The 25,636-nt window shown below is 39.9% G+C and overlaps 1 protein-coding gene across 18 annotated transcripts in view, besides 1 other annotated feature; it reads right to left on the reverse strand.

The window, feature by feature from the left end:
- The window catches only part of BNC2 (basonuclin zinc finger protein 2), a 461,168-nt gene extending 436,186 nt beyond the window's left edge, over positions 1-24,982 (reverse strand). For 17 of the 18 annotated variants that reach the window (XM_047423506.1, XM_047423501.1, XM_047423494.1 and 14 more), the window contains exon 1: positions 24,958-24,982. In XM_047423506.1, coding sequence (XP_047279462.1) covers positions 24,958-24,960 — 3 coding nt within the window. In that variant the 5' untranslated portion in view covers positions 24,961-24,982. Of the gene's footprint in view, positions 1-24,656 lie in introns of all 18 variants that reach the window. The other variant, XM_047423515.1, reaches the window with a different exon arrangement.
- Positions 21,746-22,945: an enhancer, noted in NCBI's record as "MED14-independent group 3 enhancer chr9:16867432-16868631 (GRCh37/hg19 assembly coordinates)". NCBI's record gives its function as "activates an origin of replication core promoter dependent on BRD2, BRD4, P300/CBP and CDK7 cofactors, and independent of MED14, by STARR-seq in HCT116 cells {active_cell/tissue: HCT116}" and the evidence as "EXISTENCE:reporter gene assay evidence [ECO:0000049][PMID:35650434]".

The raw sequence follows: 25,636 nt of genomic DNA on the forward strand, positions 1-25,636 counted from the left end.
CCAGCCTGGGCGACAAAGCAAGACTCCGTCTCAAAATAAAATAAAAATAAAATAGGAAAATTATACCAAGAATCCAAACCCCACGTTCCAGAACACAAAATGTTCAAGTTCAATGCCTCTGCATACTTAAGTTACCATATGACAGAAACAATGCAGAATTTATAAAAACTAATTTAGTGGCCCGGGCGCGGTGGCTCACGCCTGTAATCCCAGCACTTTGGGAGGCCGAGACGGGCGGATCAGGAGGTCAGGAGATTGAGACCATCCTGGCTAACACGGTGAAACCCCGTCTCTACTAAAAATACAAAAAAATTAGCTGGCCGCGGTGGCGGGCACCTGCAGTCCGGAGGCTGACGCAGGAGAATGGCGTGAACCCAGGAGACGGAGCTTGCACTGACCCCAGATCGCGCCACTGCACTCCAACGTGGGAGACAGAGCGAGACACCGTCTCAAAAAAAAAAAAAAAAATTAATTTAGTATAAAATTAAAAAGAGCTACGTTTGAAATATAGTTTTGGTGAATTTCTAACTGTAAAAAAAGAAAAGATGCTTCAAAGTAATACATTAACTTAATAAGAGGAAAGAAAATCCAGCATTTTCAGTGTTAAATTCTAAACCATTATCAATAACAGAACTGTACAATCTTTTCACTATTTCCTTAAGCAAAGCCCAAAAGGTCTGCTCATTAATAAGAAAAGTCATCGTATTTCTCTTTGAAAAATATTTGTCACCAATTCTGTGGTATATTCTTTCCCAAGTTCTGACTAGAATCGTGTAAGTCCACCACGCAACACAGCACAGCGCTAAATACCACAATCTATCACCAGCATTAACTGCTCCCAGTCCTAAGACTTTAATTTCGACAAGGCTGCAGCTCAGAAACTGAAGACTGGTAGGGTTTCTCTTTCAGCAGGCATGGACAAGGACCACATATTTTCATACAAGCTGGTGCATATGAGAAACAGTTTGCGGCCCCAGTCATAAGCATATCTAAGACAGGATTTCTAAGTTTGTGAAAATTCTACAATACACTTTTACAAAAGAAGCCCCAAATTATTTTAGACCAATCCATGAAGAGTAAGTGACCAAAGCACCAGCAGGTTTTCCATCAGCCACAATCTTTTGAAAACTTTGAGTAAAAAGAAATCCTATAAAATTTTGCTATCACAGCACTAGGCCATCAATTTCCAATTCACAGATGAAATATCTCAGTCAAAACTGCAAAGGCAGTATTAGTGTATAATTACTGGTAAAGACAGATGTGCTTTGGAAACACCCGAAACTTAACTTCCCTGAAAGTACACTATTTCTGCAAAACACAAAGTAGATAATATATTTAAAATAGTAATATCTGTTCACAATGTCAAGTTGCTGCATGGTAGAAAATGATCTCTGTAGCAGGTCCTCAAGATAAAACTAAATGTGAAGATGTATGCTGCGGTAGGTCTACTTTCCAATTACTAGAAGTAAGCATATAAGAGATATAATTAGTTATGACACTAGGACAGGCATACATGTTTCAACACACACGCAGCTCAAAACAAAGTTTTTGGCACTATATGACAGAGAACTTAAACCAAGACTCAAAGAAAGGTTATGGAGTGTGTGCGTTTATTTTTTTTATTTATTTAAAACTTGCCACATCAAATTACCTTTTTTACACTTTAAGTATATTTTGATTTGTTTAAACATCTCTCTGAAGATTTCTCGGGGCGGGGGGGGGGGGGCGGCGGGCAACAACCCTGAAGCTTTCACTGAGCCTACATTACAAATTAAGGAAGTTGACTTTATAAAATTCATTTGGTTAAAAAGGAAAAAAGAATTGACCAAACACGTTTAGGAAATTTTGAAGTGCTAGTCACAGGTTTTTCAATCAGGAATAGAACATTAAATTCTAAGACTAAAATATACAAGGTAGTATAACTTAATTTTGACAATTAAAAGCTTGTCCGAGATATATCAAGATATCCCCAAACCATAACCATTGAGCAAGGCTTTAAAAACTAAAACACAAAACTATTGAATAAATCCACAAGTAAATCATGATCCAGTTAGGATCATTTATTCCTTGATAAAGACAGAAAAATGAAAAGACCATAAAGATACACCTGAGAATCTACGGAGCAGCATGTGCGGTAGATGTGTAAACAGTTGATTATTTAAAATAAAGTATGATTAAGCTCATATGAAGCATGAATTCAGGAAACTGGAGAGACAGGTTACATAAATACATAAAAAACAAATCCTGTAAGAAACCTGTGTGTTCAATCTCAAAAGACTGAAACAAGAAATATTCCAAAGCATCCCTTTTCTAAGTCTCTGTTCAAAGACAATGAAACCTATGATGCAGTAGCTTATGAAAACACAACAAAATTCAAACTCTTAAGATATTCTAATTAGGAAACATCCAATATTAATAAATGCTGCCTTTTCCCTTAGTATCTTATCAAACATAAATTTCTTTTGCTGAGAAAATTAACCTAAAAACAAATTTTAAGTTAGAAAGGTTCAAAATATCAAAGTAAAGAGAAGGCACCAAAAAAAGGAGGCAGACTTCAAGTCTGACAGCTTCCATCTCCCAAGTCAATCTACAAATGAAATTCCATCGATGAAGTCAGGTGTAGTGAAGAGGAGGTATTGTGAATGGGTGCTGGAAACATAAAGCTTGTAATTAAGTGCATTCTTGAGTATAATAATCCACCCTGGAACAAGATAAAGCATTCAGAACCTATCCAATGCAAAACAGCTAGACGTTATACTCCCACAGGAGTTACAGTACATGACAATGAATTATGAACCAAATCCCATCTTATGAGCCAAATGGTCCATGAAGACAGCACAAACAGTCCCTCCAAAGACACTGTTAATTACGCCCTCAGGTTTTGGTCCAGCAGAACTTTACACCTGAAAACAAGGCCTGCTAAGGACCCTCTCTACCTTCATAAAACAATGTAGGAAATCTAGCATATTAGTTATAAAAAAGACTTTGGGATTTGGTTAAAAGAAAGCACCCAGGAGATTTCAACTAACACAAGAAAAGTTTGACCCTCAAGTTTACAGGCTGAGCATCCTAAATCCAAAAATCATAAAATGCTCTAAAATCCCACACTTTTTGAGTACCAACATGTCCTAAGTGGAAAATTCCACACCTGACACCATTGCTTTCTGATGTCCACGTACACAAACTTTAATTCAGGCATAAAATGTAAAAATATACAAAATTACTTCCAGGCTATGTGTATAAAATATATAAGAAAAATTAATGAATTTCATGTTTAGACTTAGGTCCTGTCCCTGAGATACCCCATTATGTAAATGTAAATATTCCAAAATCTGAATAAATCTGAATTTTGGTCCCAAGCATTTCAAATACCAGAGGCTCAACCTGTATGTCCAACACAGGTTGTTCTAGCTTTCTTTTAAATGAGAAAATTCCAGAGTTTCAGAGAGCCCCAGGGAGGAATGAAGAAACAAATGTAAAATTAGCTTTCCTGGAGTCAAATTTATTTCATTTCTTTTTATTTCCCGAACTCTCATTCCCCCCACCAAAAAAATCTATAAATTTTCTAGAGTCTGACTTCACAAAGCAGACTGAATTTTCAAAATTGCTAGTTATATTTTTAACAATAAAATGATTCCTAGATCTGCAGATTCCATGCAAAAGATTTTTTTTTTTTTTTTTTTTTTTTGAGATGGAGTCTCCCTCTGTCGCCCAGGCTGGAGTACAGTGGCGCAATCTCGGCTCGCTGCAACCTCCACCTCCCAAGTTCAAGCAAGTCTCCTGCCTCAGCCCCCAAAGTAGCTGAGATTACAGGCGCATGCCACCACGCCCGACTAATTTTTGTATTTTTAGTAGAGATGGGGTTTCACCATGTTGGCCAGGCTGGTCCCGAACTCCTGACTTCAAGTGACCTACTCGCCTCTGCCTCCCAAAGTGCTGGGACTATAGGCGTGAGCCACCGCACCTGACCCCATGCAAAATTTGCATTTTACGCTGTGGAGAAGAGGTTGTATACAAATTGGAAGAAGTTCAACAACACAGATTTTTCCAAAGCACTAATGCTTTTCTTAATTGATAACCAAAAAGTCAACATAAAAAAACTGATTAGTATTACCTCAAACCATAACTTGCTGAAATTCAAAAACAAACCCTAAAGTACAAAAAAAAAAGTCATATTCCTCTTTGGCAACTACTTTTTCCTTTGACTTTTGTCAAAGACCAGTATGAATAAGGCTGTCCCACAAACAGTGTTATGTGCACAAATTTGTACTTCACTAGCTTTCTGATTTCTAATGTCACTAGTATTTGTTTATGCCCCCCACACACAGATTTGCTCAACTAAAAAAACAGACTAGGTAGGTTATCTGTCAACCTCTCTAATTTCTTATCTAAGACCTATATATAAAACCATTTCGTATCATGAAGCACTCATGCAGTCTCACATCTTAGTTAAAACTTTTCTTGATATCCTTTGCCTTTAGAAGCCTTCTCAGGCTCCAAAATTTTACTTAGAATAGAAAAAATTCACTCTACAGTAGAATTTATCAGGCACTTAAAACATAGAGCTGGCTACAAAGGGCTACAAAATAATAACACACTTTGGTCAGTGGAATGATATTTATAAGCATGCATGTATGGTACGCATGAATCTATAAGTGCACAAAATATGATACCAATTCTTATATAGTGAAATGGCTTTTTATAGATTTAAAGAAGCTCCATAACTAGTGGGAGGAAAGAATCAATGTCAAAATTGTCAGCTTAAGACACTGTACTTCTTCCAACAATGCTACCATTGCTCAAAATATTTCTAGAACTCATCATCTGTAAATACTTCTAGGGCCAACTTGTAAACTATATGTGAAAAATCAATGTTGTCTTTTTTCTAAATCAAAAATAGGCTGGGGGTGGTAGCCCATGCCTGTAATTCCACCACTGTGGAAGGTGAAGGTGGAAGGATCACTTGAGTCCAGGAGTTGGAGACTAGCCTGAACAATACCTCAGGAAGCTGAGGTAGGGGGATCGCTTAAGTCCAAGAGTTCAAGGCTGCAGTGAGTTATTATTGCATCACTGCACTCCGGTCAGGGTGACAGAGGGAGACTCTGCTTCTAAAAAGTAAATAAAAAAAAAAATCAAAAATAGAATTATCTTGTTTTAACACCCACCAAGTAAGTTAACACCAAAAGACTTTTGAAGATTCAGAAAATCAAAGCTTATGTCATGGAAGATTTGCTAGCACCAAAGACGCTTAGAAGAACTAGACACAGGCTGTCTGAAATCAATGTAAAATGAAGACCTCCAAGAGCATTTTAAGCTATGACACCATCACTGCATCATCTTCTAGGGTGACTATTTTATAAATAATAATACTTATTTGTAACTGCTTATTTGTGGTTTTCAAATTTCCTTAGTGTATTCATTAGTATAGTAATTATTTCAATGCTTCATTCAAATTTATTAATCCTGTCAAACATTTTAAGTTCTTCAAATGTTATAAAATCTCATTTCACTTAAAAAGTATTTAAAATCAGTACAGCGGCTGGGTGCAGTGGCTCATGCCTATAATCCCAGCACTTTGGGAGGCCAAGGCAGGAGGATTGCTTGATCCCAGGAGTTTGAGACCAGCCTGGGCAGCATAGTGAGACCTTGTCTCTACAAAAAAAAAAACTTACCCAGGCATGATGGCTCATGCGTGTAGTCCCAGCTACTCAGGAGGCTGAGGCAGTAGGATTGCTGGAGCCCAGCAGGTCAAGGCTGCAGTGAGCCATGATCATGCCACTACACTCCAGCCTGGGTGACAGGGTGAGACCCTGTCTCAAAAAAATAAAAATAAAATGAAAACATAACTAGACTTTCTTCCAAATTCTAAGCATACCATTTCTTTATTTTCCTGTGTCTTGAAAATCACATGTAATTATAAAATGGTACTGTAAAACTTTTCATAGCAATGAATTCTATGGTATGCAAATTATTTCTCAATAAAACTGTTTTTAAAAACTTAAGTCACAGATACCCAAAGAAGCCAGTGAAGCATCATTAACAAGCCTGAACTATTAAAAATGAAGGAAAAAGTTATTCAAAGATTAATCAAAAGCCCAGATCACGCCAAAACAGACCAATCAAGTAATAATTTTTTCAGTCACTGAAAGAGCTCACATACTTCTCACACATATGTTAGCACAGGTACAAAGGACCCCAAAACAGGTATACCCTGAACTGAAGAGACTTGTAAATTCCACCAGAGGATGAATATTAAATAAAACATATAGATATACACATTCATGCTGAATCTCATATATAATATTTCACTTTCAACTCAACATGAGATGTGTGATCTTTTGAAGAGTGGGAACAGATTTTACACTCTCACCCGCAGTCACACCGCCTTATTATACAAAAGCACAAAATCTGTAAAATAGCCTGACTACAGAGATACATTTTGCTTTAAACAAAGTTAACCATCCTGTCCAGATCATGCTCTATCCAGTCTCAGTTTTTTTGACAGCACAATGTTCCCCTTATATATATATCATGCACACTATAAAACACAAAAATAGGTGAACAAGATAAATCAAATTTCTAATATATTTTCCCCCAAATCGTAAAGGATGATTTCTGCATACCCCTTGAAGTGTTTACATCTATCCTGGAAACCACTATTCCAACTGAGCTAAGCATAAGCAGTTCAGAAAAGTTCAGCAGCAGATGCCAAAGAACTCTCAATGGTTATAATAAATAAGTTTTGATAACTATTGATAAAGAATCCGTTCATATTCACAAGGACAATCATATGTGAGATATTCATCCATTCATTCATTCAATAAATATTTGTTGAGTGTTGCTACAGGTAATGGAAATGCAGAATTAGTAAGACAAAGGACCCTGTTCTTATGGGGCTTCATGGTGGTGGGAAGATAAACTACATGTAAATAAAAAAATTAAATATACTTTCAAGCGGCAGTGTGCTGTGAAGAAAAAAATCAGGGTAAGAGACCAAAGAAACATACACTGATAGGGACACAGGAGGGAAGGTTGGCAGGAAGGTCTCTTTAAAGGACTGACATTCCAGAGGAGACTCTAGTGAAATGAGGGAGGAAGCCCTGCAAAAGTGTGAAAAAAAAGAACCTCACAGGCAGAGAAAAACCCCATGCAAAGGGCTGAGGTAGGTACCAGCTTAGCAAAGTTCTATGGCCTGTGGAAAATCAGCAAGGCTGGATTAGAGGGAGCAGTGGCAGGAAACGGCGTCAGAGTTGGGCTGGGTCACAAACATTACATATCCTTTTCAGTGATGGTAAGGAGTTGGGATTTCACTGCAGGTATGATAAGAAGTCACTGGAAGGTTGTGAGATAAGAAGTGATCAACCTGTGGATAGTCTTCTAGGAGTAGTGGGAGGAGAGAGGCAAGCATAGAAGTACTAGGCCACTTAGAAGATACAATAGTATTCTGGGCAGGATACAGTGGCTCACGCCTGTAATCCCAGCACTTTGGGAGGCCCAGGCAGGCGGATCACTTAAGGTCAGGAGTTCATGACCAGCCTGGCCAGCATGGCAAAACTCCATCTCTACAAAAAACTAGCTGGCCGTGGTGGCATGCAGCTGTAGGCCCAGTTAGGAGGCTAAGGTGGAGGATCACCTGAGCCCAGGGAGGTCGAGGCTGCAGTGAGCCATGATCATGCCACTGCACTCCAGCCTGAGTGATGAGAGTGAGACCTTGTCTCAAAAAAAAAAAAAAAAAGCATAATGACACTCATTTTAACTAGTTCTTTGATTTTCAACGTAACTTTCTAATTACATTTTAATCCATGTTCTACAATTCCTGTGCAATTTCTCCATTCTCTCCAACACCTCCCCTCACTTTATTTTCATTTCAGACACATTTTCAAATTTAAAATTTGCAGCTGGGCGCTGTGGCTCGCGCCTGCAATCCCACCACTTTAGGAGGCTGAGATGGGTCAATCTCTTGAGGTCAGGAGTTCAAGACCAGCCTGGCCAACATGGTGAAACCCTGTCTGTACTAAAACTACAAAAAATTAGCTGGACGTGGTAGTGCATATCTGTAATCCCAGCTACTCGGGAGGGTGAGGCAGGAGAACTGCTTGAACCTGGGAGACAGAGGTTGCAGTGAGCCAAGACTGAGCCACTGCACTCTAGCCTGAGCAATAGAGGGAGACTCTGTCTCAAAAAAATAAAATAAAATAAAATTTGGAGTTCATTAAGCTCTGCGGGTTTAAATAATAAAATTCTCACATTACATGCTTGTACTATGACTGCTCGGAAACTTACATGTCGCCTGAACTTATGGATGTAAGTTCATAGACATGGGACTTCTAAAGTCAGACTGGAGCCTAAGGACACCAGGCCGGCAGGCTGCTCCCTGGACCACCAACTTCTGTCCTGCTGCCTAACATCAAGTGGATGTTTGTTCAGTGTCTTTCCTTTCTACTTTCTCTTCCCATAGCAGATTATTCTTGATGTTCAAGTGTTTTAAAAGGAAGGAAAGATTGAAAGGTAAAAAAATGACACTAATTGGGAAGCTGCTAGAATTAACCAATGTGAAATTAAAGGTACAGCTTTAACTTTCTGGTCCATAAAATAATACCACAAATAGATGGTGGGCATCACACAATGTACAGAATTATTAAGAATCTTTAAAACCTAATCTTAACCCTTATTTTAGGATGGAAAAGAGACACAGAAAACAGATACAGAGATTAAATACACATACTCCCTCTTGATTTCTAGAGCAGTTTATTCCACCTGTATATAAAGTCAATTTCAGATCAAGATATTTCTCTATAAGGCATTTAACAAAAGAAACTTTCTCTACCAGGTATTTAATAACTAGTTTCTAAGTCTTTTTTTTCTTGCAATATATATCTTTTTTTCCACCATTTCCACTTATCCGTATACAAAACATGTTATGTGTAAGGCAGTAGCATGAGGTATCCCCCAAGAAAATTTGAAACGAGTGAAATGAGACTGCCATCTGCATTAGATCCATAAAAAACCAAAGAGAGGCAAAGTCACCTTAACAACTAGCTCCCAGGACAGTTGCCTAATATCTGCTTGAGAATATTAACGTATCTAAAGAAAGAGAAATTTGTCTATCACAAGGGCAATGGTAGCAGAAAAAAAGCAAGAGGGGTAAACACTGTCAATACTCTTACAAGCACAGCCCAGGAAAGGAGTCCAAAGTGTGCACCGTGAACATCACAGGTCACTGGAAAGAATTTCTCTATAGGAGGAGAAGACCCTCAGGCCCCCATCCCACCCTTAATATTCTCTGCTGAAATTCCAACCCCATAAAGAGATGAACAACATTTGGATTATAATCTGACTCCCCATTTAAATTTGCCTGCCAAGGAGAAGACGTACTAATCATTTCAATATGAGTACATGAGTATTCCACCTCATATGGTATACAGATACATACATGTTCACATGGCGTGTGTGTGTGTGTGTGTGATCTCCACTCCTCAGCTGGTGAACAAACTGAATGCATCCATGAAAAGGTGATCTTTCTCAATGGTATGTTAACAAAATTAGGTTCCTAAGGCTTCATATGCCAGAGGAAGACCATGGACTATGGTTAATTCTTTTAAGATAATGAATATCCCTTTACCAGTGAATTTTGTGCTCTCTCTTAGGATGACAGCTTCTACTTCATCTGTAATACCTATGGCACCTAATAGAGTATCACATACATCATAGAAATTCAAACGCTTGTTAAATTGTTGTATTCTAAAATAAAAAAAGGTTGTTATACTTTGGCAAATGAAGGCAATTAGAAGTCCCATGCCTACGCCAAATGTACAGCTTGAACATCAAAATCTAACAATTTTTAAAAGCATCTTTTTTTTGTTTTTTGAGACGGAGTCTCGCTCTGTCGCCCAGGCTGGAGTGCAGCGGCGCAATCTCGGCTCACTGCAACCTCCACCTCCCGGGTTCACGCCATTCTCCTGCCTCAGCCTCCCACGTAGCTGGGACTACAGGCGCCCGCGACCACGCCCGGCTGATTTCTTGTATTTTTTTTTTTTTTTAAGTAGAGACGGGGTTTCACCATGTTAGCCAGGATGGTCTCGATCTCCTGACCCCATGATCTGCCTGCCTCGGCCTCCCAAAGTGCTGGGATTACAGGCGTGAGCCACCACACCCGGCCACATCTTTTTTATTTTTACCAAATCAGTACACAATTGTCTAATGTTGTTTCATGGAAATCTGCAGCAAGTTATTCCATATATAGTAAGTAAACATTTACTTGCTGGCTGCTAGCAGATTTATTACCTTAGCATATCCGTACTTCAGGAATGCAATTTGACAGTCATACTAGTAAAACAGTAAGTAAGACACTCAACATTCATCCATGCCATCCATAAATATATGTTAAAAACCACAAAAAACAATGTATCAAGTATTATCTATTGCAAAATGAAAGTACATTAATGGTAAACCCTGCCCTTCCCCTCCAAAAAAATTTCAGTCAACTATACTATTCTACCTTCTATTCTGCCTTCTACCCTCCCCCATAAGGAAGCAGCAAACTACCAGTTTCTCATCCATATTTCTTCACACACACTCTCTCTCTCTCTCACACACACACACACACACACACACAAATTCCAGCATATCTAATTATCACTGTCCTTTGTACACAAATATGTCATGTCAGCGACTGGTTGCTGTTTACAGACAAAAGGGAAGCTTCAAAGACCAATGCACAGATATAAATAAATTCTTGAAGCGAAAATATTTCTTATTTATTTTTTTAGAGACAGGATCTCACTATCTTGCCCAGGCTGGACTTGTACTTCTAGACTCAAAATGATTCTCCTGCCTCAGCCTCCCAAATAGTTGGGACTACAGGCATGCACCACTGCACCCAGCCCTTCGTGTAAATATATTTCTTACAAGGGACATTTACTGGGTGAAAAATATGGCTCCAGACCTGGTAGAATTTCTGGGTTTAAAAAAATTTTTGTTTTTTAGTATCCTTTAGCGTTAATGCACATTAAGGCAAATTAATGTTTTAGTCTATCAAAAGCCAATTCAGCCAAGTATGTTTTCTTTTAAATCACCATTTTGAATCAGAGAAAGATCTGAACTATCACATTGTACTTCCAGAAGCCTACCTGTTAGCATTCGTGTTGATAGAATGAACTTCTCCAATCCTAGATGGTGAAATGTGTATTACAGGGAGATTAGATACCACAGGGCAGAGAATTGAGTGGCCTTTCTTTGAGCAAATGTATTGTTTCAGTTACTTACATTCTTTATGACCTCCAACCACATAAGATGCCAAATAATAGCATATATGATTTTGTCAGTCCATACATATAAAACATACATCTAAACACATGTCAAAATACATCATAAAAAATAGAAAAGTAACATTAATGTTTTATTCAGTATGAATAAAATGTGTCAATTGGGATAAATGTATATGTAACCAAAATTTACGTCTGGTAAACATAAAATTTTTACTGTAACAATTTTTAGAAGTGATTTCAGGCCAGGCACAGTGGCTCACGCATGTAATCCCAGCACTTTGGGAGGTTGAGGTGGGCAGATCACCAGAGGTCAGGAGTTCGAGATCAGCCTGTCCAGCGTGGTGAAACCCCGTCTAAACATACAAAACAAAATTAGCCGGGCGGGTTGGCAGGCACCTGTAATCCCAGCTACTCGGGAGGCTAAGGCAGGAGAATCACTTGAAATCGGCCGGCGGAGGTTGCAGTGAGCCGACATTGTGCCACTGCACACCAGCCTGGGCAACAGAGTGAGACTCTGTCTCAAATAAAAAAAAAAAAAAAAAAAAAAAAAGAAGTGATTTTAAATCCTCTACAGAATTTTCACAGAATTGTTTCCCCTAGGGAAAAAAAAAATTATCCTTAAAATACATCATATCATTTTAAATTGGATAATTACTCTTTATGTACGTAAACACTTATGATGAAAAAATGCACACTCGCTTTGTATAAATTTGAACAGTTACATATCTAATTAATAGTTGATGCTGACTAAATAATGAAACTTTTGTCTAAAATAACTGGCAAAAGGCCAGAAACAGACAATGCAGTGAAGAATGGTCCATCAGAATACTAGAAAAGCAATTACTTAGATGAAAATAAATATCAGCCTTTATTAGCATGAATAAAGAGAAAATTAGAACTGTAAGGGAATGAATATTTCTTTTAATTCAACAATGAAGCAATATAGCTGCCTCTAAATTAAGTTACCTTTCATTTGCTCTCAAGTTTCTCTAATTCAACGATGAGGTATTTTAATTACAAAATTTGCCAGGTAAACTGTAAAGCAAGCTCATGTTTCCAAATATGCTATACCAGATTTGAACATGGTTATTTATATAAAACTTCACTGGACCAGTTATTTTGGGTTTGGAGATCATACAATAATTTTTAGTTTTATCTCTGTTGGTGTTTTTCTAGTCATGACGGGATGTCTAGGAAGACAAATTTTCTCAATAATGGTTTTCTTCCCCCTTTCCTTTTGAGGTATTTATAAAACCAAAAACAATTATTTCTGGGTACTTAATTCCACCCTTCAGGGCATGAAGTGTGTCTCTTATCATACGGAACACCTAGAATGCTTTTAAACTCAATGATAATTAAGAAACATCAAAGTAAAACCAGGGTGTTTCACAGGGAACCAGGAGCTATCATTTTTTGGCTACCAAATGACATATTTCTTGTCCCCTGGAGTACTACCAAGACTTTTTTACCTAAACAATAGAATGTACTTTTTTAATGTAGCCTTTACTCTTCTGAGGATCAGACATATCTGAGCTTTAAAAGTAAACTGCTAAAGGCAACAAAAGCAAGAATAGACAAATGGAACTGAATCAAACTTAGAAACTTCTGGCCAGGCGCGGTGGCTCACGCCTGTAATCCCAGCACTTTGGGAGGCCGAGGCGGGTGGATCACGAGGTCAGGAGGATCAAGACCATCCTGGCTAACATGGTAAAACCCCGTCTCTATGAAAAATACAAAAAAATTAGCCAGGCATGGTGGCGGGTGCCTGTAGTCCCAGCTACTCGGGAGGCTGAGGCAGGAGAATGGCGTGAACCCGGGAGGCGGAGTTTGCAGTGAGCCAAGATTGCACCACTGCACTCCAGCCTGGGCGAAAGAGGGAGACTCCATCTCAAAAAAAAAAGAAAAAAAGAAAAAAGAAACTTCTGTGCTGCAAAAGCAAAGGAAACAATCAGCAGAGTGAAGAGATAAACTATAGAAAGTGAGAAAAAATGTGTAAATCATATTTCTGATAAGGGGTATAGACATATAGACAACTCTTAAAACTCAACAACAACAAAAAAAGCCTGATTTAAAAATAGGTGAAGGACTTGAATAGATATGTCCACAAAGAGGACATATACAAATGCCCAAAAAGCACGTGAAAATATGCTTAACATCAGGAATCAAGGAAAGGCAAATCAAAACCACACTGAGATATCACCTCAACCATTTTTGAATGGTTACCATCAAAAAAAAAAAACAGGAAATAATAAGCTGTGAGGTTGTAGAGAAATTGGAACCCTTGTGCACTGTTGGCAGGAATGTAAACGATGCTGCCCTTATAGAAAACAGTATGGAGGTTCCTCAAAAAATTAAGAACTACTGTATGATCCAGCTATCCCACTTCTACATATATGTCCAAAGATTGAAAGCAGTATCTTTTACAGCTATTTGCATACTTATATTCACAACAGCATAATTCACAAGAGCCAAGAGGTGGAAAGCAAACTAAATGTCTATCTACAGATGAATGGATAAAGAAAATGTGGTATATACATATGATGAAATATTATTTAGCCTTAAAAATGAAGACAATTCTGTTGTATGCTACAACATAAATGAACCTTAAGAACATTAAGTTTCTAGCTAAGTGAAATAAGCCGGAACAAAAAGACAAATATGTACTGCATGATTCCACTTCTATGAGGCATCTAAAGTAGGCAAACTCTTAGAAATAGAAGCTAGAATAGTGGTTTCCCAGGGCTGGGAGGAAAAGGTAAACGGGAGTTGTTATTCAAAGGTTAAAAAATTTCAGCTTTGCAGAATGAAAATGTTCTAGAGATCTGCTGTACGTTAAGTTACAGAAAACACTACTGAACTGTACACTTAAAAATGGTTAACATGGGCCAGGCACGGCGGCTCACGCCTGTTATCCCAGCACTTTGGGAGGCCAAGGCGGGCAGAATGCTGAGGTCAAGAGTTGGAGAACAGTCTGGCCAACATGGTGAAACCCCATCTCTACTAAAAATACAAAAAAATTAGCCAGTCATGGTGCCATGTGCCTGTAATCCCAGCTACTTGGGAGACTCAGGCAGGGGAATTGCTTGAACCAGGGAGGTGGAGGCTGCAGTGAGCCGAGATCACACCACTGCACTCCAGCATGGACGACAGAGTGAGACTCCATCTCAAAAAAAAAAAAGGATTAACAAGATACATTTTACGTTGTTTTCTACCACAATCCAAATTGCTTTTTAAAAAGTCAACTTCTAAGGAACTAAGAATGGCTAAAACAATCTTGAAAAAGAAGAACAGAACGAAGTTGTAGGACTCACACTTCTCAATTGCAAAACTTAATACAAAGCTACAGTAGTCAAGACAGTGTGGTACTGGCACAAGGACAGACAGAAAGATCAATGGAATAGAACAGAAATTCCAGAAATAAACCCTTATATATCATGGTCAATTAATTTTTGACAAGGGTACCCAGACACCTCAATGGAGAAAAACTGTCTTTTCAACAAATAGTGCTGGGAACAACAGACATCCACATTCAAAAGAATAAAGTTGTACCCCTACCTCATACTATTTACAGAAGTTAATCCAAATGGATTAAAGATCTATGAATCCACCCTGTGGGAGCTCAAACTGTAAGACACTTATCAAAAAAAACACAGAGGTAAATCTTCATGATCTTGGGTTAGACAATAGTTTCTTAGATAGCATACCAAGGACAGAAACATCAACAACAACAAAAATTGATAAATTAGACTTCATCAAAAATTTCTGTGCTTGAAAAGGCACCATCAAAAAGTCAAAAGACAGCCGGGGCTGGGCGTGGTGGCTCATGCCAGTAATCCCAGCACTTTGGGAGGCCAAGACCAGCAGATCACCTGAGGCCAGGAGTTTAAAGAGACCAGCCTGGCCAACATAGAGAAACCCTATCTCCACTAAAAATACAAAAATTAGCCGGGCATGTTGGCACATGCCTGTAATGCCAGCTACTCGGGACGCTGAGGCAGGACAATGGCTTAAACCCAAGAGGTGGAGGTTGCAGTGAGCTGAGATCACGCCACTGCCTGAGCGCCAGAGCAAGACTCTGTCTCAAAAAAAAAAAAAGACAGCTGCGCACAGTCACAGTGGCTTATGCCTGTAATCCCAGAATTTTGGGGGGTCAAGGAAACAGGATCGCTTGAGGCCAGGAGTTTGAAACCAGGCTGGGCAACATGGTAATACCCTATCTCTACAAAATATATATATATATATATATAAATTAACCAGGCATCGTGGCTTGCACTTGTAGTCCCAATTACTACGGAGGCTGAAGCAGGAGGATTTCTTGAGCCCAGGAGTTCAAGGCTGCAGTGAGCCATAATCATACCACTGCACTCCAACCTGCACAACAGAACTAGAAAGACCCTGTCTCTTTAAAAATAAATAAATAAATAAAGACAACCCACAGAATAGGATAAAGTATTTGCAAACCTTGTACCTAGCAGAGGGCTTGTACTCAGAATATATAAACAGCACTTAAAACTGCATAATAAAAAGACAAATAACCCAAGTGAAAAATGGCCAATGGAGACATGTCTCTGTTTTCCAGAAAAGATACACAAATGGCCAATAAAGTGCATAAGATGCTCAACATCACTAGCCATCAGGCAAATGCAAATCAAAACCACAGAGATATCACTTCATAGTCACTAGTATGATTCAAATAAAAAGATACTACTTCACACCCACTAAGATCTGTAAAAATAAAAAGACAATAACAAGGGCCAGGCGCGGTGGCTCACGCCTGAAATCCCAACACTTTGGGAGGCCGAGGCGGGAGGATGACGAGGTCAGGAGATCGAGACCATCCTGGCTAACACAGTGAAACAACGTCTCTACTAAAAATACAAAAAATTAGCCAGTCATGGTGGCGGGCGCCTGTAGTCCCAGCTACTCAGAAGGCTGAGGCAGGAGAATGGCGTGAACCTGGGAGGTGGAGCTTGCAGTGAGCCGAGATTGCACCACTGGACTCCAGCCTGGGCGACAGAGCGAGACTCCATCTCAAAAGACAAAAAAAAAAAAGACACATAACAAGTGTTGAGGAGGGTGTAGAGAGACTGGAAGAATTATACACTATTGGTTGAAAAGTAAAATGCTGCAGTTGCGTTGGAAAACAATTTGGAAGTTCCTCAAAAAGTTATAAGTAGATAGGCCATACTATCCAACAATTCTACTCTTGAGCATATACCCAAGAGAAATGAAAACATTATGTCCACAAAAACTTGTACATGAATGTTCAGGGCCACATTACTCAAAAAGTGTAAACAACCCAAATGTGCTTTCATTGAATGGATATATAAGAGGTAGTACATCCATAAAATGGAATATTAATGTACATTTTAAGTGGGTGAGTTATATCTCAATAAAGCTAATAACAGCAAACTGCTATGATTATATAGTGTTATATAAAATATGAAATGTACCATTTGGAAAGGCACTTAGAAATTACCAAACTCACTTGACTTACAAATGAGAGAACACAGGCTATCAAAAGTAGGTGGAATAGAACAGGGCCTCTATAGATACCCCGTCCCAGCGCTGTTCTGAGTCTCTAACAGGCAACAGTACAACTGCCTTCCAAGAAACAGCCAGTCACCTGCGTAGAGATACTGACTGGATAAAGAACAAGTGCAGGATACCTGCAGAGAGTAGCTACTGCCATGTATTCCTCTCTCTTTAATTACCACACAGCACTAACCTATTTTGTTCTAATTTGGGGGTTTTCATTGCCAGGGGAAGAGTTAAAATTATGGCCTTCATCTTCACAAGTCCCTCTTTTCTCTTCTACTACTCCCAACACAAACCATAATAAATGGAAATGAAACTGTTAGAAAAAGGAATGTTAAGACACTCATGCTTTTTCTGTGGGAAGGTCACCAGCCTTAGATGACCACGGCAGATTCATCTATATATAGCTATATATAGATAGATTTTTTTTTTTTTTTTTGAGACAAAGTCTTGCTCTGTCGCTCAGGCTAGAGTGCAGTGGCGAGATCTTGGCTCACTGCAACCTCCGCCTCCCAGGTTCAAGTGATTCTCCTGCCTCAGCCTCCCGAGTAGCTGGGATTATAGGTGCCCGCCACCACGCCCAGCTAATTTTTGTATTTTTAGTAAAGACGGGGTTTCACCATATTGGCCAGGCTGGTCTTGAACTCCTGACCTTGTGATCCACCCACCTGAGCCTCCCAAAGTGCTGGGATTACAGGCATGAGCCACCACGCCCTGCCCCATCTCAATATATTCTACACAGTACTTCCGCCCGCTGGCCAAAAGGCTGGGGCATAGCCCTAGGATAGGATAGCTGGGCATTTAGCATCCCACCTGGGGGAAAGACTATGAAAAATAACTCTCTCTCCCTAAAACAAGGATAACTTAGCCCATACTTTCACAAGACACTAAGAAAAGCTTAATAGAGGTGGCTGGGCACAGTGGCTCACTGTGGGATCACACTGTAATCCCAGCACTTTGGGAGGCCGAGGCCAGTGGATCACCTGAGGTCAGGAGTTCGGGACCAGCCTGGACAACATGGTGAAACCTTGTCCCTACTAAAAATACAAAAATTAGCCAAGCGCAGTGGCGCACGCTTGTAGTCCCAGCTAATCGGGAGGCTGAGGCAGGAGAATCTCTTGAACCCAGGAGATGGAGGTTGCAGTGAGCCAAAATCACGCCACTGCACTCTAGTTTGGGCGACAGAGCGAGATTCCGTTTCAAAAAAAACCTTAACAGAGAAAGTACAACTGTTAAAAAGCCTTGCCTAAAAGAGGTAAGGTCAAGAAAAATTAAAAATAACTTTACAGGGATTTGGCAATAAGTCATTAACATATTTGAAAAGTTATTGGAGAACCCCAAAAGAGTTTGGAAAACTGACAAAATCTGTTGAAATCAGGAGACAAAAATATTTTATTTACCCTCAGTAAAAACGGTTCTCCTAGTTTAAAAAAGAAAAAAAGACAAACTTTTGGGTAAAGAGGGACAAATGTATTATAATGTACCATTTTCTATTCAAGTGTTTTCAGAATTCTTAAAAAGGTAATTCTCTTCATCTCTAAGATTTTAAAATAATATTTTCCAATACAAAATTTACAAATACTTATTTTATTTATGATTTGAAAATGACCACATTATCATCCTTTTTCTCCTCTGCATCTAGCCAATTAAGCAAATGTATTTCTAAAGAACCAGGCTATGCTAGAGGAAAATCAAAGGAGGAAAAGAGCAAAGGAAAATTAATAGGCTACATTATTTTTACATAGATTTTAAAACATATATATGACATCTATGAAATATCTTTTAATTATTCTCTAGATATGGAAAAAGATAAACTGCTAATAGATCCATTCATATATATGATTTAGTCAGTACTAAAAATAGTTATGTTAGTCACCAGAAATACTGCTTTTGTCCTCTGAAAGATTTGAAAAAAGAAAATAAGACTTTCCATTGCTGTCAAATGTATTCAATTTTCCCCTCAAATGAAGTTTGGATGAAAACAATGTGACTGACAAGCCCCGCACAGGCAAATCTTGGCAACCCTCAACTCTGTCTATCTCCTTGGCCTGTTAAGCAAAATTCCTTCACAAACTGTTGGTCTTTGCAATAACTCCTACAAAGCTCATTACTGCCAGCGTCGGCCTATCCCCCATGTTGTGCATTTATCCCTGGGATGCATATCAACATGTGGCACATGTCCTTGACATGCACAGAAGAGCTGCACCCCAGGACAGCAGCATGCACGACAATAGTCTCGACGCTTACTTCTTTACGGTTGCTGGGATGTAACCGAGAAATCTAATAACTGTGACAGTGGGGCCTTTCGGTTTTTCCTTGCCTTTCCAGACAGTGAAGCTGCACAGACACTAATGAAAGGTTAAATGAATAGGAATAGTTGACAAGAGGTACAATAAAGAAGGAGCTTGGTAATCCACAGACACTGAGCAGAGATCCTTGGCTCAAGCAGAGAAAGGACAGCACATCGTCGAGTCACAATATTTAAAACAGCTTGCTATACACAGAGGCTTTTGTGTCTGGGTACACGTCTGGCTTTGGACTGAAAAAAAAAAAAAAAAAGACACTGAAAAGGAATTTCAGCATGGGGCACTTTGGCAAATGTAAGGTCATTATAAGAGAAAAATGTTTTGTGTAGGTTGTTACATCTTTGTAATAAACACAAAAAAGCAGGGACTATGAACTCATGAACCACAAGTTCCAAGACAATACTGTACATTTTGACAACTATTAAATACTGTATCTAGAAGGCTGGCTTGATGCTATTCCCACTGGTAAGATACATACACAGTGAGTCATTTAGGAGTTTCACATTCTGCCTTCCTTATGGAAGAATTCCTGATACTCATCTTATTAGAGTTTTATAGTCAAGTTCTAGTCTTTAGTGAACGTAATTTGTTACAAATACAACCAAAACTCTCAAAGCCACCTTCTACTCATTGAAAAACTTCACAGCAGTTACTAGCAATTTGTGAAGTACCAGGCAAACTTTTTGTAATTGTAAGTGATTGCAACTGTGAAATGGCCTCAGCTAGAATTCTTAATTATCGAACCTATTATTTTTTGGTGCCCTTCTCACTATACCTCAAGGGAAGGTTGTATTCCTTAGGAAGTTTATTTTAAATTATAACAGCAAAACAATTTAAATCACCAAGAGAAAAATACTCTAGAATGTCAAAGAGAAAATAGAGCAAAAAGAACAAAACTGATATTGTTATGTACGGATATTTTTAAAGGAAAAAAGTTATGACGATAGCAAAAACTTAAAGAATGATATATCTGTAATATCATTCTTACGCATATTGAGTTAGAATATAGGTTCTTACGCATTGAGTTAGAATATGGGTTCGTAACAAATGGTAAAAGCATACTGAGAATATATTTCAAAACAAGGGAGGCTCTTTGAACAGCCAAATTAAATTATAGCTGAACTCTTGAGTGTACTGAGGGTTCTAATAAGCAACAAATAAAGACTTTTATTGGCTAGCAACATAATGAGAGCTACTGTGCAAAAGATTTTAAGAAGGACAAATCTGGGTAGTTTATCTCACTGGATTATATTATTTACTTAAATGATAAATATGTTTGTCTAAAGTAATGCTCCTAAAAACTAGTATATAAATATTAAAGTGCAATTATGATCAATGACTCTTTAACATAACTGTATCACAAATGTTAATGGAAAGTGGTAAATATGAAATTAAATGACAATTATTGAATGTAATATCATTTAAATCCTATTTCTTTAACTTATTTTTTGATCCATAATAAGTCAGGTTTATAAATAGTTTAACATTTATGCTTATAACAGGAAGCATTTATTTTAAAGAAAATTTCTCTCTGGAATACAGAAGTTGTATGTAGAACTACTCCAAAACCATCATTTACAGAAAAGGGGTTGTCCTTCATAAACTAAAAGAAGTTAACCCACTTCTCGGTGATTTCGTAGGAAGCTACTTTTAATAGAACTCTGAAGACTGGCCTCCTAAAACGAGAGTAACTCCCTCAGTTGACAAAAACTACAAACAGTAGTTAGTCAAACCAAAACATTTAAAATATAGTATCTGGTTGCATTTTGCCTGATCTTCAAATCACCTGAAAGGCAAAAGCCTAGAAAGCTTAGCTGACGCCTTGACTGTTCTTGTAGAAAGTTCTTTTGCTTCTGTCACTTTTAAAAAAAAAAAAAAAAAAAAAACCATAATAGCACCTCCCAGCCTCAACACTGAGCCAGTATTCATTACCTACTCTTTTTGTGCAACATTCTGATGGCCAGAGTGTTTTTTAAACCTTAAGTATATCTAATAAAATCATGAGGCTCCCTCTAGCTCTTCAGAGGGGATTTTACTAACCAATGATACTATATAATTCCCATCCAACAGGAAAGATTTGAGGAGGCTACCTCCCCTTCCACAAGAAATGTTTTCCACTCTGTTTCTTGTAAGGATGTAGATGGTAAATGAGACCATCTGCTGAGTAAATCAGAAAGCGTTGCTCCTTATATATTTATCAAGTTAAGAATCTATAAACTGCTTCCAACCTAAGCTTTATGTACAGAATTCTATAGTGAAACTTTAATCAGATTAAACCATACGACATAAATTTACCCATCCTGTCTAAAATTAATTTTAATGTCAAAAAACAACAACATGTATGAACATCCACAGAAATTCAAACTTGTGGTCTGGTCTCAGTTTTAAAAATCTACATTTAAATGCAGAATCTCAAAAATTCAGGAAAAAAACACTTCATGAACTGTATCTGTGGGGTTTATATAAAACAAAGATGCTAATAGTATAGAAAACATTTTCATGTACCATAGTATTTATACACAATACTAGTATAATGACTTTTTTATTGTTTAATCTTACCTGCAATTTAGTATTGGATATTTGGGGATCGTAGGTTGTTTAGAAGACTATAAATAATACAGTTGAAGTATGCCATCTTACAATAACCATAAAAGCCACATTGTCAACTGGCAAATCATCTCAAACAAGTGAATGTGAACAGTACTAAATTGAACTCCTCATATTCACTAAGGCCATCTTTCAAATACTTAAGGAATATTTAAAACCGTGCTGAACCCTTAACTGTAAAATTAAAAGTAAAGGAAACCACTAACTTCAAGTCATCATCTATTTTGGACTCCCTTAATATAAGAAATATTCCCAGGAACAACAACAAAAAGAATAGCTCCCTCTACCCCCCCACCCCCACCCCTTTTTGAGCCAGTGTCCAATTTCTTCTTTTCTGAACAGCTGTATTATCCAACTTAAGTTGCTCTGCTAATTTCAGTCCCACAAGGACTAACTTGGAAGGCAAAAAAATACAAGAAAAGATCAATTTGCTGGGAAAGATCAAATGAGAAAACTGTGGGGACAGCACCAGGTCAGCGTGTGGAGAACTAAGCAGACCTGTTCTTCATTAACTGCGGCTCTCTGGGGATGTCACACACTACCTGTCCGTGGGCTTTATTGAACCGCCTAACCCGCCTCTCTGTTCCATTCTTCTGGGCCCAAGTGAATCATATCCTGCTGCTGACAAGTTAGCAGGGGACTGCGGCTGCAACATGAAAGTACTTTTCTTTCTTGTCTAAATCAGGCAGATTTTTGAAAAGACGACACAGCATTGACTCGTGACATGGCAAGATGAAACGAGAGGTCTGGGCCGGTCTTGGAGCTGTGCAGATAAAAGTAATCAAATGACACTCCTGGAATGCAAATTGGCATTCTTGACTGCAGCAATTGCACAACCATGAAACATCCCTGACAGCAAGCAAGATTAGGACAAAATGTTATGTAAAGCACTGAACTCAAGAACTCTCACTTGAAAATTCAAACTGTAACACTTACATTTTAATATAGCAATAGTCAGCTCTGCTTTTGTCTGCTTCTTTTTGTAATCACATATCTCTATCTGACAGATATCTTACATCTCAAATAGAAGAAAAAATCAGGTAGTAGGAATGTACTGCTATTAACATTTTCCTAATATTAATTGTAAAATATAATGCACAGTTTATTCTTATTCAAAGTCTTACATGCAAACACCACCCAACTTAATATTCTCAAGAGGAAAAAAAGTTTCAGACCTTTCTCAAAAGATACTCAAAACAAAGTTCAGGTTCAAGCTCGTTATTACTTCCCTCAGGTAAAGATACTCCTGTACTTTGGTAAAGTGATTAGCAATCTGGACTTTTAATACAGCGCACTCTGGGAACTAAGAACTTCATTAAGACTGAACAGTTTACATGAAACGGCTACAAATATAAAACACAGATACTCTCTAAAGGCTCACAAGGGATTGTGTGTGTGTGTGTGTTTGTCCAAAAAGTAAATGTTCTGTTAACTTGTACAAGGTCTCACTACTAGGGTACATCTTCAGATCAGACACACTAAGTAACGTGCCAGAAATAAATTCCTCCCATTTAAAGCATGTATGCGTGTGGACAGTAACACGTGAAATTGCAGAATACAAAGCAGTGGAAGGCAGACAGGCTTAGCCACAGTTCAAAGTCATTAGGATATAGGAATACATGTGTAGACAAATAGTTAACATAGGCTAGGGTAAAGGGAAGAAAAATAATACCTGCCACCGGCTTTTACAGTGTTCTTGTGTAAAACGCCCGTTAGAAGAAAAACTCTCAAGCTCTAAACAGATATATTTAATATTGTTGTGATGTCTCACTTAAACACGGCTTTCAACAATTCCAAGTGTCCACGAAGTATATAAAAATAAAACAGGCCACTTTTTGCCACTTTAATCCTGGGTACACAGGATTATTTTATGATGTCTTTTGTACGTCAGTTTTACAACAGCTTGACTCTAGGGTAAATGGGAACCATCATAAATCGCACGCTGCTTTCAAAACCACTTTAATTTCTGTCAGCGTTACTGTAACCACAGTCCTGGGCTCTTGCTTTTGTGTGTGTGTGTGTGTGTACGCGCCCCTGCATTTGACAGTCCCATCTCCTACACTCCAGTTGTGACTTTGATCACTGAAACAAGAGATGTCACATTAGGGAGCAGGGAAGAGGAAAAAATGCCAACCCGCTATCTCACCTGTATTCTCATATGTTCCCTCTATATACGGAATACACCATGTCAGATCCCCAAGTGGGGGTAACAATAGCGACGCTGGGAGGAAGCAAACTAAAAAGAAGGGAGTGGTCAAGCCCCATTTCTAACAAATCACTTCCCCGAAAGCGGACAGAGCGGCTCATCACCAGGCGAACTAATTGCACGCTTCCTCGCTGCAAAGAAGTCGCTTCTCGTAGAGGGGCTGTGCTGGAGTCTCGCTTGGCAAAGCCAGCCCATCTCCTCCACCACTTGCACTTGGAACTTTTTTTCAACCTTAAACTCACTTCACAGGAGATTTCACCTAGGGTTTTTCAGCATATATAATTTTTTATTCTGCTCCCTCCCCAGGCCCCAAATCCCACCCTCCAGTCAACGTGCAAGTAAAACAAATCGGCTCCTATAGAATTGCACTTCGAAAAGAGCCGTCTCTGCAAGGTTGATTTTCCTGCCCTGCGTTCTGCACCTTCTCCGTAAAGCCTGCGGGAGCATTTCCTCCCATCTCCATTTACCACGGGAAGATTCCGAATGTGAAGACAAGGGGAGAGGAAGAGTCAACGTGCCGGGCCCGGGCGGCTGCGCCCCAGCGCACCCGGCACCCACGCCCAGCCGCCGGTCCCTCACTCGGCGGCAAGTTGTAAAAGTTCCCGTAGGTCCCAGCCGCCTTCCTCTCTTCCCCGAGCTCCTGCCAGCGCTCCATTCATCCCCCACTCCCCTCCACCTCGTCCCCCCAGCCCGTCCCCAACGCCCTGGAGCCTCCCCTAGCCAGCCGCTCACCTTCGCGCGGAAGCCGCGAGCGGGGCCGACCTTGAGAAGCCCCCTCTCACGTGCACCCTCCCACCTAGAGCTCGCCTCAGAAACTTGGGGCCAAGTTTAGGGGAGGCCACTGGGAGCGCAGCGGGGATCAGGTCGGACCGGGGTTCTGGTCCCCGGCCCGCCCTCCTCAGCGCCCCTTGCCCCTCACGCCGCGGGCCGGAGGGCGGACACGGCCCCCGGGCGGCCCCGGTGGCGCTCGGGCGCGGGGGTCATTTCTGAGGAAGTCTAGAATAAAAGAGGAAGGAGGGTGGAAACTTCTTACCATCTCGGCATGCTGGTTGTCAAGTGCAGCCCCCGCCTCTTGGTCTCCTCTTAGCGGCCGCGCCTGGACCAGCCCCTCGGCCGCCGCTGGCTCCCTCCGTCTCGGCCTTTCTCTCCCTCCCCCTCCGAGTTCCTCCGGGCCTCCGCTCTCGCCGCCTCCGCCTCCCCGCCCGCCCGCGCGCGCCCTCGCCGCGGCCCCTCTGCGCTCAGGTGACTGATTTACACTCGCGCCGGGGTCGCGCTCGCGCCCCGAGTCCCAGCCGGCACGGTTCCCCGGCTCCTCCTCGGGACAAAAAAAAAAAAAAAGGGAACGGCTTGTCCCGGGAGGGGGCTGCCCTGCTCGCGGGAGGCGGGGGACCGGCGGGCGAGGTGACCTCGGCGGCCGTGCAAGCCCCACAAGTTTTTCCTCTCTCTGCAGAATTGTCGTGACTACAATGTTGCTTCCCTTTTGCAAAATAAAAGTCGGTCGTTGTGTTGTTTGTCCTCAGAGGTCCAGGGGCTTGGGGAAGGAGGATGTATGTTTCTCCCTCCCCCCACCGCCCCGTGACTTCTTTGGGGGCTTGTTTGTTGTTTGGGTTGTTCTTGCTCTCTCTTTCTGGGGATGGAAAAAACAACTTTGTGGGGATGGAAAAACAACCCTGGCGCCCCCCCCCCCCCCCGGGGAGCTGCGGGCGTGGAGG

The sequence above is a fragment of the Homo sapiens genome, chromosome 9 (assembly GCF_000001405.40).
Source record: "Homo sapiens chromosome 9, GRCh38.p14 Primary Assembly".
Classification (NCBI taxonomy): Eukaryota; Metazoa; Chordata; class Mammalia; order Primates; family Hominidae; genus Homo; species Homo sapiens.